This window comes from Homo sapiens, chromosome 8 (assembly GCF_000001405.40).
Source record: "Homo sapiens chromosome 8, GRCh38.p14 Primary Assembly".
NCBI lineage: Eukaryota > Metazoa > Chordata > Mammalia > Primates > Hominidae > Homo > Homo sapiens.
In genome coordinates, this window is record NC_000008.11 from 135444651 (window position 1) to 135459760 (window position 15110).

Consider the following 15110-nt stretch of genomic DNA (forward strand, 5'->3'; position numbering starts at 1 on the left):
ATGAGCAGAAGGGAGCCATTCCAGGCTATAGAGCATCCATTCAAATCATTTACGATATATTCCCCAAAGCCCAAAGTTCTATGTGGCTGGAGTAATATTAGAGGAAATTGTCAAACTAGGCATGGCCAAATCGCACAGGGCCTTCCTGGCTCAATAAAGAGTTTGGTCTTCATCTAAACCAACAGCACTGGAGACCCCTGAAGGGTTTTAAGTAAGGATGAAATAACCAGACTTGCATTTTTAAAGATCAGTCTTGGTACAGTGTAGATAACGGACAAAAGGGAGGCCAGAGGCCATGAGACCAGTGAGAGGACTGTGGAGAAGAGAGAGTAGGAAGAGAGAAGTGCAGTGAATCCAGAAATATTCAGAAGGAAAAGCAACAGGAAATGCTGACAGTCGCCGTGGGGGTGAAGGGGAGGGGGTGGTATTCAGGTTTCTTGAATAATGGAGAGGCCATTCATTGAGACAGAGAAAACTGAAAGAGAATAAGAGTTGGAGACTAGGAGAAGAAGAATAAAATAAAAGCTATTTGTAAGAGGATGGGCAACTATTTTATGAAAGGTAGAGATACAAAGGCAAAAACAAGACCACAGTAATCCTTTAATCAGGGATTTTGTTTGTTCTAAGGGGTCTTAGGCTAAATGGAGGGGCCTGTTATGAGAGCAAACTTGACATCTTGGAGAAACTATTAAATGACTGACCACGACAGCTCTCCCCACACAGCCTCAGGTTCTCGGCTAATTTTAAAGGCCTGTCTAGAAGCAAATTTTCCAGCACTAGGTGTATCTCTGTGGCCTTTGCTTGAAGTAAATTGTTCTCATGTCATTAAAACTTAAAGCTTCTTCAACAGAAGTGGCATTATGTATTTGGAACATAATGTTTTATTCCTCCCTATGTTTTAGAAAATCTAGAAAATAAATCAGTGCAAGAGCAATTCCTGGAGATGATTTTCTTTATCTACTTTATATATACAGTCTGTTTGATTTGATGAGAAGCTTAATTTTATTCAAGGGGACATGAGCTTACTATGATGATTATCATTTACTGAGCCCATACAGTGTGCAGGCAAGGTATGTATGAAATATTACTTAATCAATCCCAATATTTTTGTAAAATCAATATTTACCATTGAGGAAACTGAGGCTTAGAAACATTGTCACTTGCTAAAGGTTATCCATGACCTGGCACTGAAAAGCTGAGCTCCAAAGTCTGCATTTCCTGCTATGCCTCCGAGGAAGTGGCCCTTTTGTTCAAAGTAGAACAGTAGAGACTTCTTTCTGATTAGCACAGGAAGGAAACATTGCCACACATTGCTTGGTCAGGAAAACAAATAAACCCCGATGTACATTTGGCTTCAAACTTGTTGATGCTTGACTAACTGATGCCTTCTGTGAAATTCAGTCTCCAAAATTAGATTTTATTTTAGACTTTCTCCATATTCATAGACGTTCAAAGATGAAAGGTAGAAGGAAACCACTCCCATTGACTAAGTAACTGCTATATGCCTGTAGGAATATTTGACATAGGAATTATCCCCATTTTATAGTGAGAAAATGGAGGCTCAAAGAAAGGTGAAATAACTTGACCAAGTCATACAAACAAGCCAGTAAAGGCCGGGCGTGGTGGCTCACACCTGTAATCCCAGCACTTTGGGAGGCTGAGGCGGGCGGATCACGAGGTCAGGAGACCAAGACCATCCTGGCTAACACGGTGAAACCCCATCTCTACTAAAAATACAAAAAATTAGCCAGGGGTGGTGGCGGGCGCCTATAGTCCCAGCTATTCGGGAGGCTGAGGCAGGAGAATGGCGTGAGCCCGGGAGGCGGAGCTTGCAGTGAGCCGAGATTGCACCACTGCACTCCAGACTGGGCGACAGAACGAGACTCTGTCTCAAAACAAACAAACAAACAAACAAACAAACAAAAACAGGCCAGTAAAGACGGAGCAAGAATTTCATTCCAGTTGGCTAATTCTATTATCCCTTGATCAAGAAATATTGCCAAGGCTTTGTTTTGTCTATGAGAGTTTTAAAAAATCAAATTATTCTCAGGCTATAGAATGTTAACAGTGGATTTGAGTGACTTGTATCAATGTATGGCCTCTTGATTTTGCTGACTTAAGCATTTTCTATCTTTATCCTGGACAGTCAAGCACAATTTTTGTTTGATCTCAGCACCCAAGAGAGGCCAGTACTCAGACCAGTACTGAACAGTAGGGAAATCAACTGGGCAAAATTTGTTTACTAAACTGAGAATTTTCTATGCATTTAAGAAATCTTTATAAAGCATTTACTATATGTCTTGCCCTGTTCTGAGCACTTTCAAATATACTAATTTCATCTCCAGTGAGGATGAGGTAGGTGCCGTTGTAATCCTCTTTGTACAGGTGAGGAAACTGAGGCACAGAGATGTTAAGTAACTAGCTCAAAATCACACTGCTAGAGTGAAGCTGGCTCTTTAGTTAGGATCTTAACTGCTATGCTAGGCAGCCCTATACTTGGAAGAAACCCAGTTATTTCTTGGGCAGAGGCGTCGGGGATGCAGCTCTTGTGCTTTCCTTTGCCTGAGGACTGTGAGCCATCATCCATGGGCCCTACTGTATCCTTTATTCCTTCTCCAATGCCCCAAACACTTGCTTGTCTTGGATCTAACAGGGCAAAGGAAGTTCTCTCAGAGCTCAACAGGGTGCTGTCCATGTGCCCAGTTCTGATCAGGCCTCACGTTTCCCTTGAAGGAAAGAAGGGAGTTCAACAGGTATTGAGCACACACTGCGTGCAGCTCGGTGCTTTACATATAATTGGGGACATTGAGTGTTGGCAAGTGCCACACACTGTCCCAATTACTTTTCATGTCATTGAACATTTTTTCTCACAATCACATTACATGGTGGGGACAATTTCTCTCTGTTTTGTGGATAAGGAAACTGAGATACTAAAAGATTAAGTAATTAGCCCAAGGACACAGAGCCTAAAAATGGCAGAGATGGGATTTGAACCCACAAATGCTACCTTGAGAACCTGAACTCCTAGCCATTGTGTCTACAGCTTCCACAGGGTACCAGAGGCATAGAAAACACACCACTTTAATATTCACAACTACCTAGTGAGGTGACCACTTTTCCTCCCGTGATACTGATTAGAGAGCTTGGTTCAGAGTGGCCTGTTAACTTGTCCTAGCTCACATGATGAGTTAATGAGAGAGGCATGGAGTGAAATTCTGGGAGAGCCCAGAAACTGTGCTCTGTCTGTGGCACCAGGATGCCTCTCTGTCTCTGGCTTCTCAACCAGAAGCCACGTGTGTGCATAACCTGAATGAGGATACCAAACACTGCAGGGAGAAAACATAATTAACCAGAGTAGAAATCCAGTAAGCCAGTGCCAGATGTTTCAGGTAAAATTATTTACTACAGCACATTGCAAAAGGGTTTGGTCTTCTTTGCCTCCTCTAGATCTACTCTCAACCTTTTTCAACCACAGTCTCTACCCTCAGAGGCTTGCCTTTATGGAATACATCAGTTGGGCTCCCCTGATCCCTGACTTCGGTTCCAACTCAGCCAGTGGGAGGCATTCACAGGAGATCAGAGGGTGGAAGAGTAAGGTCAGGGTGTTTAGTGCCTTGGCTCCTTCCTGGACCTGCCCCTGTTCAGCAGGGCTGGTGTCTTCTATATTCAGCCACAGCTCCTGCTGGAGGCCTGCTCCCACCTCCACAGCTCTCTCAGGTTCTGACATCTGCTCTTTCCTGGCCTCTTTAGGCACAGGATGAGAAGGTCTCCCACTGGTGGCCTAGACGGCCAAACTCTTCCCTTTGTATCTCTTTGCCTTACCCACACCTTATAAATAGCTGTTTATGAAACTCTCTTTAATGACTCCTTTTGAGTACACCATTTGTTTCCTGCCAAGATTCTGACCAATATATGAAATAATAGGATACAGGAAAGAAAACACAAGATTCACTGTAGCATGATAAGAAAAAACTCAGAGGTCAGGCGCGGTGTCTCACACCTGTAACCCCAGCACTTTGGGAGGCCGAGGCAGGCAGATCATGAGGTCAAGAGGTTGAGACCATCTGGCCAACATGGTGAAATCCTATCTCTACTAAAAATACAAAAATTAGCTGGGTATGGTGGCCTGCGCCTGTACTCCCAGAACTGGGGAGGCTGGGGCAGGAAAATCACTTGAACCCAGGAGGTGGAGGTTGCAGTGAGCTGAGATCCCGCCACTGCACTCCAGCCTGGTGACTGAGCAAGACTTCATCTCAAATAAAAGAAAAATAAAAGAAAAAGTTCAGAATAGTTTTGTTGGAAACTATGTGCTGGGGGAAAGTGAGCATTTTGTGTGCATTAGTTCATCTCAGCTTCACAATTGGCCTGTGAAATGGTCATAATATTGATCCCACTGTGAGGCTTAGGTTTTCAGTAACTCTCCAAGAGGAAACAAGACCATATCTAGGTGATGCTGAGGTTCACAGTGCATCTGTTCCTGCTCAACAATGAGCAGAGGCATAGTGGGGAGACAAGAGCACAGGGAGTCAGCATCTCAAGAAAGACCTCCAAGCTACAGCTGAGCCCATGGAAACATCTTTGGTGCCTGTAAGAAAGAAAGGGCCACAACAGGGGGCGCACACCTGCCTTCCATCTAGTCTCCCTCCTGGTTGCTTACAGCTAGTCCCCATCCAGCACTAACTTGAGCCACAGCTTCTCCCTCAGCCCCACAAAGGAGGGACCTCCTGCTCACGCCACACCTTGTTCTGCCTGGAAGACTCTACTCCTTCCTAGTACCCAGAGTCCACTCAGAAAGGCAGTCCCATCCTCCTGCCCTCCCTTTCCTGTATGTTCTGATTCCCTGGGTCATACCTGGCTGAATTGTAAGATGCAATACAGGAAAGGGAGTTTTGTTTTCTTGAACCAGCAAAAAATGTACAACCCTATTGTTTTATTTCTTTAAAGACTGTGAGTGCCTCCTCCAGATCATCTGAGAATTTGATGGTAGTTGTACAGTAATAGAGCCAGGAGTTGAAGTGGTCGTGATAATTGCAGATGCCACCTCGGATAGAGGCTGTCAGTTGCTTCCTAAACATCAATTGTCCTCTATTCCTTACTGAGGAACTCTACTTTTGTTGGAGGATGCGATGTGCCCAGGGAAAACACTATAGTTACCAGTTCTGACCCTTGCAAATAAGGGTATCCATGTGTGATACAGTTTGGTTAATGATACTTAAGAAAAAGCCATTTGATGAGGCTTCCAACAAGGCGTCCTATCAGCTGCACAGACTCAACAGGTGCTGCGAATTTTCCCTTTAGCTCTTTCCCTTTTCCTTACTCCTGCCTGGAATCAGGTCATGATGCCCATGGTGGAATGAAGACAGCCCATTTTGGCCCTCTAAGTTCGATGAAGCAGAAAGATGGCAGGGGCGTGGCACACCAACAACATCTTGTAGCTGCTGCCCCTGGCTTGGGCAGCCTACTCTGGGACTTCATGGGGAGGAGGGTAAGACAAGGGTGAGCCTATTTGGTTAAGCACTTACAGGTGTGTTTTCTAATCCACGTCCCAGAATAATCTGTACGGCCCAGTACCACAGCCACCAGCCACATGTGGCTAATGAGCATTTGAATTGGGGCTCTCATTAGTGAATAACTGGTTTTAATGTTATTTTAACTAATTAAAGTTAAATTTTAAAATGGAAGCAGTGTAAGATTTTTTTTTCATTAAACACAATTTTATAGTTTGGATAGAACCGCATTTTACCTTAGGTGTTGAAAATTTTACATTGGATTGACATGTACTGTAGGTGCAAACTACACATCAGATTTCAAAGACTTAGTCAAAATAAATAAGAATGTAAAATATCATTAATATTTTAAAATTATTGATTATATATTGAAACAGTATTCTGGATACATTGGATTAAATAATCCTATTGAAACTAACTTCATCTGTTTCTTTTCACATTGTCAACTGGCTTCTAGAAAATTTAAAATTAAACATGTGGCTCACATTAATTTTGGACAGTGCTGCTCTACTGATGCTGCACCCATTCTATGCCCCTGGCGTGTCAGGTTCTGTGATAAACACTTTAAATACATGCCACTCATGGAGGTCCTAAAGTAACTGTTTGCAGGGGAGGGGGTAATACTGCCTTCATTTTGCAAGTGCAGAAAGAGAGGCACAAAGAGGCTGCCTTGCCCCAAAGCTCCCAGATTATTAGGGGCAGGCGCACAGTGGTATCAGACTCCTTAACTTGTGGCCTCAACCGCCATATGCTCAAGGGTAACTTACTCTTGAACTGTGCACAGATCATGATAGTCTGTATATCTAAGTTGCTAATGCTTGCAGACCAACAGGTATGGCTACGAAGACTGAGAGAGAATTTGCTCTCAGGATAAGATTTGCCAGAGGAAGCTGGAGCGTTGCACATGCCAGCTGTCATTAGAGGTGTGATAAAGTTGATCGAGGTTGCCCAGGTATAACCAGTAACCGCAATCTCTCCATTAACAACAAGCAATGGATTTTGAGGCATTGTGTCTCCTCTTGGTATAAATCCAGACATGGTGGTGATGAGGGCTGATATTAGTGGGAAGGCTAGTGCTACGCTAGAGAAACGCCAAAGAATGAAATTCACAGAGACGTTCAGTGAGTTTGCAGTTGAGTCACCAACAAAAGTCGACTTTGATTTTGAGAAAAAATGTTTCTCTTGTAATTCAGTGATCTAACTTAAGTCCACAATCTCAGCTTTATGTCCATTCTTTTTCCACAGCCATTTTTGTTAAGTTTGTTTCTTCCTTTCTTAACTAAAGAAAAACACAAGCCCAAGCTGGCATTTTTCTATGAAACCCGGATGTGTTCACATTTGCAGTGGGCACTAAACACTTTATCACCCCCTTGGTAGCTGTTCGGACACTAAGGGTAACTTGACACTGACAGAAATATTTTGTTTCTGATTATTTTGCCAAACTCAGATATGTGCAGTTTTGCTGTAAAACATTCTACTAATGTGTACAGAATTGTTTCATGTGTATCTCTATGCATCCTGACAAGAAATAGTGGACTAGGAGATGGACACGGATATTTTTACTACTGTGGCAATAATGTTTTACATTTCGACAGTGCTTTCCAAATCACAGCATCTTCCAAAGCACCAGAGGTGGTGATAACTTGATGCACTGTTGAAATACACCAAGTACTTTGGCACTCCAGCATCACATATAACCTTTTACACCAGGAAGCAAAGGATGGAGGGTTTTTGCTGCATTGAGCAAAATAACAAAACACATTTCTGTGATGGTTATGTCCAAGAGCTTAGAGCACTTTTCAGGGTTTTCTCTGCAAATCTTTATTGTTCTCATCAGAACTCAACAAACAACTGCTATTAGCTACCCTTTACAAGCTCAGAAATAGGGACAGAGAAAGCTTTGGATTCTGAAAATATTACCAAGTCAGGCAGTGACGGGGTCAGATACGGGCCCTGTCACCTCTCATCCTTGGCTCGTCTGTCCCCACCTGCCTGTGTACAGGATGGCCAGCTGACCCTGGACACACCAATTCGCATTATTTTCCATCATTACTTTTTGTGCTTATATTTGAAATAGAGAAAGACTTCACATTGAGAAACGTCCCTCCTTTAAGCTTGCCTTATTTTTTTCTCTCACTCCTCCTATTCTATATACCTTTCTTTAATCTTCCTTTGGTTCTCCTGCCTTCTTTTTCTCCATCACATTTTTCTTTCTCCTCCCCTTTTCTTTGTCTTTTTCCATTTTCACTGTCTTCCACATAAGATCATCTTTCACCATCCTCCTTCCTAGGATGGAGTTGCAATCCTATCTGGGGTTTCCTTCTCAAACTCAAGTGGTTATCAACCCCAACGCAAACTTTGTGGGGCATGTGCCTCCACATGTGGCCACTAGGGGGTGTGTGCACAATATCTGTGTGTGTGGTTATTTATTTATTTTATTTTTTTAAGCTGCAGAAAGACAGAGCCAGGATGGCTCGATTCTCTTGTCAAAGAAGAGAGCTGACGAGAGAAACTGAGGTTTCCATCCACCAAATACTGACAGGAGGGTATAGATTTGCAGGGCAGATGGATACAGAGACAGAAAGACAGGTGTCTTCAGGTATGTGAGTGACTGGGATTGAAGGTCTGATTGTATCCATCCTCACATTGGGTGGAGTGTGTGTTTGTGTGTGTGTGCGCACATGCGCGTGCGTGTGCATGTGTATGTGCATGCAAGCATGTGTCCAATTCTCCACTTACTATCTCTGAGTCACTTAAACCTTCTGAGCAACAGTTTCCTCATCTCTAAAAAGTGGTGGCTTGTGACTACCTGAATGAGGAAGTTTTTTGGAGCTTGTTTGAGTAAAATACAAGAGAGCCACTCATAGACCAAATAGTCCTTGGTGAAGGCACTCCAGATCTACACTGGGCTTTGAACTGTGTGAAGCCTCCCAACTTTGAAGAGTTGCTTTGTGTCCTCCCCCACTTGTGTCAAGGCTTTTCAGCCACAGTTACAAGTTTTGAAAAAGTATTTCCTGCTGTAACTGACTGGAGTCAGGGATCAGAGTGAACACTCTTGTCTTCCTCCCTGACACATAAATGACTGATTTCTAGGTAAGGATGTGCCATCTTTTGGTGCCTGCCTTACATGACAAATGAATTGGCCTCAGATGGCTGGGTAGCATTGCTGTTCCGGGACTGCATTTTGGGAGACACGGATCCAGAATGAATGCTGAGTGCTTGCTGTGAACTGACCTCTGGACCAGGCACTGGGGCTGGGCAGCTGAGCAGGCTCTGAGGACAGTGTGAAGGCAAAGGGGTCCACAGATGACGAGGACCAGATGTGTTAAGTGTGAACAGGAGCACAAACAATGCTGGTGGAGAGGACAGAGAGTGGAAAAGCTTTAAAATGCACATGGTGCCTATGTGAGCTTAATGCTTCAATTTCAACCTCAAAATGATCCTGTGAGGAGGATAGTAAGCAAGGCAGCTGGGGCCAAGCCGAGGTCTCTCTGGCCTTTGGTACAGTCGGATTAGGATTTCACAGTATGGCACTGCAGAGTTTTGGAGTAACTGGGATAGGATCCACCTTTCTTAAACAAAATGAAGAGGAAGCTTGTGGTGTGAACAGCAGTGAGAAGCTTGTAGTGTGAGCAGCAAATATGAAAACTTCCTCATAGACACACTCCCTACATTTTGTGTCTCCTCTGATGACACTGAGTTTGCTGCAGCTGTGTCTGACTTATTGCAGTTAGTGTCATAAAGGCCAAGGACTTGTCTTTCTCTCTCCAGGAGTCAGTAGGTGGGTGAAGAGGAGGCAGGTGTGGATTCTGGCAGACAGCGCTATGGCAGTGGGCTGGGGCCACAGGGACTTGCTGTGTTCTCAGAGATGGCCCAGTGTCACTGAGTGGGGTGGGTTTGGGAAGTACCCTTTTGTCTCTGGGGCTGAGAAGCTAGTCCCAGACCTGGATGTGAGAAGAAAGAGCAGCCACAGTTCCTTATTGCAGTGCGGGGCTTCCCGTCCAGACCTGAGCGCCTGGTCAGTCTAACCACAAACTCTGCAGATGGAGTAAGCAGCCCCAGTGCCCTGGCCTTAAGGGCCTTTGGAGAAGTCTGTTCTGTCCATGGCTATGTCCCCTGTACCCAGAGCAGTCTCTGCACATAGTATGTGCTCAGTGAGTACTGGTGTATTCTAGAGAGACCTCTTTTGGCCTGGAAGCCAAAAGACCTGAGTGTGAATACTACCTGCAGCTGCTTGTAGGAAAATCACCGGCTTTCCCAAGACCTGATTTCTCCTTTTCAAAAGAATCAGAGGGTTAGCGCCTGCAGGAAGGTGATCTCATGAAGATGAGCGGAGTGTGCAGCACAGCATGGAGGTGCCCCACAGCCAACGGCTCAGCCAGGTTGGTGGGTGGGGACAATTTCCTGAGCATCTCACAGAGACATTCATCTCCCTCCTCCCCGGAGGACCCTGCATGAGCACTCACAGCGTTTGGCACCTGCCTTCTTGGAAGGTTCTCGGAGAAGGAGGGTCTGGAGCAGAAGATTCAGTGCCCTTGCTGTCAGTTTCCCAGTGCATAGCCCTCCTCCACAGCTGCTGGTGGACTGACTGCCAACTCAGATCAGGGAGGGATGAAGAGCCAGTCAGGAGTGTTCCAGATTGCTACCTGGGAAGGCAGAACCAGGAAGGGAGAGAAAGAAGGGTCAGAGAGTCAGGTGGGCCTGGGATCCCCGCCGACAGCTGTGGAGCCTTAAGCAAGGTGGTATTAAACTGTCCCGGGCCTCAGTTTCCTTCTTTGTAAGTGGTGATCAATAGAATTTTCCTTACAGGGTGTTGCGAGAACCATAGTGAATCCTAAGTCATAAACATAGGGCTGGCACTTAATAAAAATAGTGATTACTCAAGGTCTGGACTGTCACCGGGGCAGATGGTCTGAATGGAAGACACAGAGGGAGAAGAGCTGTTAGAAGAGAGAGAGTCTAAGTGTTCCAATGAAGCCGCTGGGCATCCAGGCCCCATTGTCCTCTTCTAGCCTCATCCCAAACATTCTCTGTCCCCCTTTCCCCCTTTACAAGCAGCTGTCAGGGAACCCTACCATAGAATGTAAGTTCTGTGACACAGGAATATAAGCCAGAGGTGTATGCTTCCCTTCAGTTGTAAAAGGAAAAGACATTGTCCTATGAGTCCCTCCTGTTGTCCAGCAGGACTACTGGCATACCCCTGGTTTTGGGGGTGTGGACTGGGAAGCTCAGGCTCTAAGTTAATTAACAAAGTGGCATAGTGAGGCAGGTAGCAGCCAGGATGCAGGCATCCAGACTCCTGCCCTTCTGGGTGAGGGTGGTTTGGGAAGTGCCCTTTTTGTTTCTGGGGCTGAGAGGCCAGTCATAGACCTGGGATTGAGAAGAGCAGCCACAAGCAGCCTACAAGCCTGACGCTGGGCCCAGGTCAGAAACAGAGGTGCGACAGTCACAGGTCCTTCACTCAGTTGGCCAGGCCGGGGCGAAGCACCACGACCAGCAGTGAGGAGTCCACAGATGGGTGTCTGCCCAGCATCCCTGGAGTTACAGCTGAAGGGAAGGCGAGGGAGGCTCAGAAGGCCCAGAGGACAGCCTTGCAGCCGGAAAAAACCCAAAGCAAAGATCAGCTCAGCATTTCCGATAGGCAGAGTGCTGTTTTGGGTATTTCATTATGAGTTAACATATTTATTCTCATGAACTTCTTATGAAATAAGTTTGGTTGTCATCTCCACTTGACGGATGAGGACCCTGAGGTGAAGAAACTTGCCCAAGGTCACAGCTAGTGAGCAGCAGATCCATGATTCCAAATCCAGGCTGTTTAACCCCAGAGGCTTTGCTTTTAACTGTGCCATTTTTCTGCTTCTTGCAAGTTGAGACTGAAGAGAGCCATGAAGAAGACTCTTACTGGGGACTCTGAAATGACACCTTAGCCGGGGGAGGAGTGGAGCCTTGAGAGTGAGGGCAGTTGAGTACTCGGGTCTGGGACTTAGAGCTTCCAAGATTTCTACCACCTCCCACTCCCCTCGGGTTTGTAAAGCTGCCTCCATTTGCATTGGGAGTGCGGGGGGGCTGCCTGGGGGACTGTGGCGATTGTCCTCAGGCTATTGGCTGAGAGTGGTATGCCACTGACTTATTCCTCCAAGAGACATTTCCAGTACCCTCCATCCCTGCCCCCTGTACTACACACTGGTGACCTTCCCCCTCAAAAACAAAACTCAAACTCTGTCCCTGATGCTCATGGTCTACTGAAAACAGAATTACAGCTGTCTGTGAATGACCTCTGACCAAGCTGGGGGGACACAGAGAAGGGACTTGTGACTTGCTTTGCCAGGGAGGTCCTGAGAGGCTGTCCAGGGAAGGTGACATTGAGGCCGGGACTTGAGCTGGCTGTTTGAAGGCAGGAAAAATGGCAGGGCAAGGACTGGAGTCCTTCGCCTTCCTGGGGGACGTTTATTCCACATGCCTCGGGAAATCTGAAATGGCCTTGGAGAGCATTTGCTGGGGGTTGGGGGTGGGCGGAAGGGGACAGAGAGCATTGCCACCGACAGGCGGGGCGTCCCAGGGCCTCTCCCCAGGAGCGGATGAGCTCAGACGCGGCTCACTCAGCTGTGTCCAGGCACAGCCGGTTTATGACCTAAGAGAATGACAACCCAGGAGCAAGTCGGGATGACAAAGACGCCCAGAAGGGCACGCGCTTTTATGTAACCGACCTCTGAGCTGGCGGATCTCAGGAGGTTGGCGCTCTGAGCTCAGGCGCGGAGAAAGGACGGCGCCCCTGCCTTACTCTCTTATAAGTACGAGGGGACAGCAACGCGACATAACTTAGAGAAGTCCAGGAAGCTTTAGAGAGCAGGGCGGTCCCGCTGCTATTCCTCAGAGCGCGACTGGGGCGAACTGGGGCGCCCTTCCCAGCTCCAGCTCGGCCCTTGTCCCCTCTTCCCAGGATCACTCGCTGGGTGACCTTGGGCGAGCCACTTGACTTCTCTGAGCCCCAGTTTCCCAGTCCGTGCATCTGAAAGGCTGTAATAGCGTCGTGGGGCTCCCCACTCGGCCCTCAGGGCCAAAGGTGGGCGCCGGACACGCGGGAGGGGCCCTTGGACGCACCCCCTCTCGCAAACGCCCGGTTAGTCCCGGCGGACTCGCAGTGGAGAGCGGCCCCAGGAGGCGGCGGGCGGCGGGGCGGTGGGCGCCAGTGCGCAGGCGCGGCGCGGCAGGGCGGGGCGGCGGGCGCGGGGCGGGGCGGGGCGGAGCCGGGCGGGGCGGGGCCGGCGGCAGGCGCTGGGCGCTCGGCGCGGTGGCTCAGAGTGCGCGGGGCGGCGCGCGGCGTGCAGGTCGCAGCTGTGGCTCGGGTGCTGGCAGGTGCTGGCGGGACTGGCGGGGATCGCCGTGGACTGCCTCAGGGGCGCCGCAGCCCGCTCGGCCCGAGGGCCCGCCTAACCGCGCCGCCCGCGCCCGCTCCTCCTCGGCCCGCGCCCGGAGCGCGGGGGCCGCCGGCGCTGGGTACTCGGCGGCCACCGGGGATCGGGGCTGAGCGGTCGGTTCCCGCCCCCGTGCCGCCGCCGCCGCCTTCCGGCCGACCGCCCGGCTTGGCCGCTGCTGCCGCGTCTGGCCCCCGGGTCCCCGCCGCTGGGGGCGCGGGCGGGGTCGGGGGTTGCCGGGCGCCGCCCCCCGTGCGCCTGGAGTCCACATCCCGGGCCCGGCGGCCGGCGAGCATGGAGGAGAAGTACCTGCCCGAGCTGATGGCGGAGAAGGACTCCCTGGACCCCTCCTTCACGCACGCCCTGCGCCTGGTGAACCAAGGTGAGGCGCCGGCCGTTAACTGCCGGCCGGCGGCGGTTGGGGGCCGGGTGGAAACGCGGGGGCCCAGGGGGCCCCTCCGTGCCCTCTGCTGTCAGCGGACGCGGCGGAGACGGAGGCCCGGGTGGCCCCCGGGGTCGTTTGCACGGGGACCTGGGAGGCTGTGGGACACCTAGGGGAAGACCCTGATGTGAATTTTGGGGACTTGGAAGGAGAAGGCTGGGGCGCATGGGTGAGACTTGAAGGAAATCTTTGGGGACTCGGGCACACCCAGGGGAAACTTCTGGGTGGGGGACAGCGACCATCTGGGGGCTTCGTTGGGAACGAGGTTGAATTATGTCATGGAAGGGGAGCGTGTTGGACTCGGGGAAGTAGGGCGTTTGGTTTGTCTAAGGTACTGGAGAAAAAGCTGGAGGAAAATGGAAGGACTTGAGGGACTCAAATGCAGAAGAGGTGAAGGGAACAGGTGCTTGCATTGTTAGCGAAGTTTGGGGACCTTGGAAGAGGGTTGGGGTCAGACCCCAGCACCTGAGAGGAGAGGAGCTCCGTGGTCCCAGGGGAGGAGCCCAGTTCCCCCTCCCAGCCCTTTGTCTCTCCTGTGTCCAGGCTCCAACAGCCCTGGCGGGGCAGTCAGCCCTCCCAGGGGATGGGCAGCCCATGCCAAGCCTTGCAGGCTGGCCCTTGGAGAAGTCAGTAGGGGAGAAGAGGCCGGCAAAAGAGCACCGTTCCGGAGGGCGTTGGGTTGGGTGACCCTCATTGGTGGCTGGCTTGAGGTTCGGAATAGTGGTGAAGGGAGTCCTTGCCATTTTCACACGACTCCAGCCAGCTCAGGGTGTGAAAGATCCTAGGAAGTACTGCGGGTCAGGGATACAGAGATTTCTGGAGGCACGCCTACCCGGGACAGTGTTCCCCTGGCTTTTTCCTCCTGTGGCTTCCTGAATCATCTGCTGGCATGCACGGTAAATTAAGCCTTCCTTCCTGGGAGCAGTCTCCTACTTTTCCTGGAATATGTGTTTCAGATGAAGATGGGTGTGGGTGCCACTGGTCTGTCTTTTCTCTGGGAAATGGCAGCAACATGATCTGGTCAGATCTGTTACCTTTTGCAGGAATTACTGTGCACTGACAGTCTGTGGTTCCCTAGATGAATCGGATCTGCTGCTCTTAGTGCTCGCCCTGGCTTTTTTATTGTTGGAAGTGAAAGATGAGGCAGACATATTCTATTTGTATATAGATACCTATATTTTAAAACAGTGACCTCCAGTTTTTGCCTGTTTCAACCAGTTCTTCAGAGTAGAGTGTGTGTGTGGTTGACCGATGGTGGAGGAGAGACTCTTTACTGTCTCCAAGAATTTAAGAATATTTGAATTGTTGAACAGAAATAGACTTATGGAGCTCCCTCATTTTATTTTAATTGCAGGCTTATTTTTATTTCTTTAATAAAATGGGCTTGTGAAAAAGTGAATGGGCATGCATTCCTAAATAAAAGAAAAAAAATTAAGTTTTATTTCTATGCCCTCTGAACAGTTCTGCAGTTGAGTTTGTACTCCTGTGCCTGATGATTTACATGTATCTTTTATTGCCTGCTGGGCTGTCATCTCTGTGAAAGAAATTTCTTCATACATTGCATGAGATCCGTGGCATTGGAAATATTCTGGACTGTGGACTCAAGTGCATTTTTCCTAATAAAGTAGCTGAATCAAAGTTAGGTTGTACTCAATTAAGGAACAGTTAAACTGAAAGTACAGTGCGTTATCTTATTTTAAAAGTCAGAATTATTTTCTCTGCCGTGTTGCCATAGTATTGTGTTGC

At 48.6% G+C, this 15110-nt stretch overlaps 1 protein-coding gene and 1 long non-coding RNA gene across 22 annotated transcripts in view, besides 1 other annotated feature; one reads left to right on the forward strand and one right to left on the reverse strand.

Moving 5' to 3' along the window:
- Positions 1 to 13325, reverse strand: part of LOC101927872 (uncharacterized) — a 53621-nt gene extending 40296 nt beyond the window's left edge. For 2 of the 7 annotated variants that reach the window (XR_002956731.2, XR_002956732.2), the window contains exons 1-2: positions 13232 to 13325; positions 9974 to 10153 (exon numbers count right to left, since the gene is read on the reverse strand). This is a non-coding gene — a long non-coding RNA (uncharacterized LOC101927872). Of the gene's footprint in view, positions 1 to 7051; positions 10154 to 10314; positions 10406 to 10877; positions 12679 to 13231 lie in introns of those variants that run through there. The other 5 variants (XR_007061188.1, XR_002956730.2, XR_928690.4 and 2 more) reach the window with 5 other exon arrangements.
- Positions 12678 to 12977: a silencer, noted in NCBI's record as "silent region_19569". NCBI's record gives its function as "represses an Ori minimal core promoter by ATAC-STARR-seq in GM12878 lymphoblastoid cells {active_cell/tissue: GM12878}" and the evidence as "EXISTENCE:reporter gene assay evidence [ECO:0000049][PMID:35858748]".
- Positions 12806 to 15110, forward strand: part of KHDRBS3 (KH RNA binding domain containing, signal transduction associated 3) — a 199061-nt gene continuing 196756 nt past the window's right edge. For 9 of the 15 annotated variants that reach the window (XR_242372.3, XR_001745458.2, XR_928287.2 and 6 more), the window contains exon 1: positions 12806 to 13304. Coding sequence is in view for 7 of the 15 variants with exons in the window: in NM_006558.3 (NP_006549.1) it covers positions 13217 to 13304 (88 nt within the window). In the remaining 8 variants the exon portion in view is untranslated. Of the gene's footprint in view, positions 13305 to 13382; positions 13534 to 13893; positions 14261 to 15110 lie in introns of those variants that run through there. The other 6 variants (XR_001745457.2, XM_047421268.1, XM_005250757.4 and 3 more) reach the window with 2 other exon arrangements.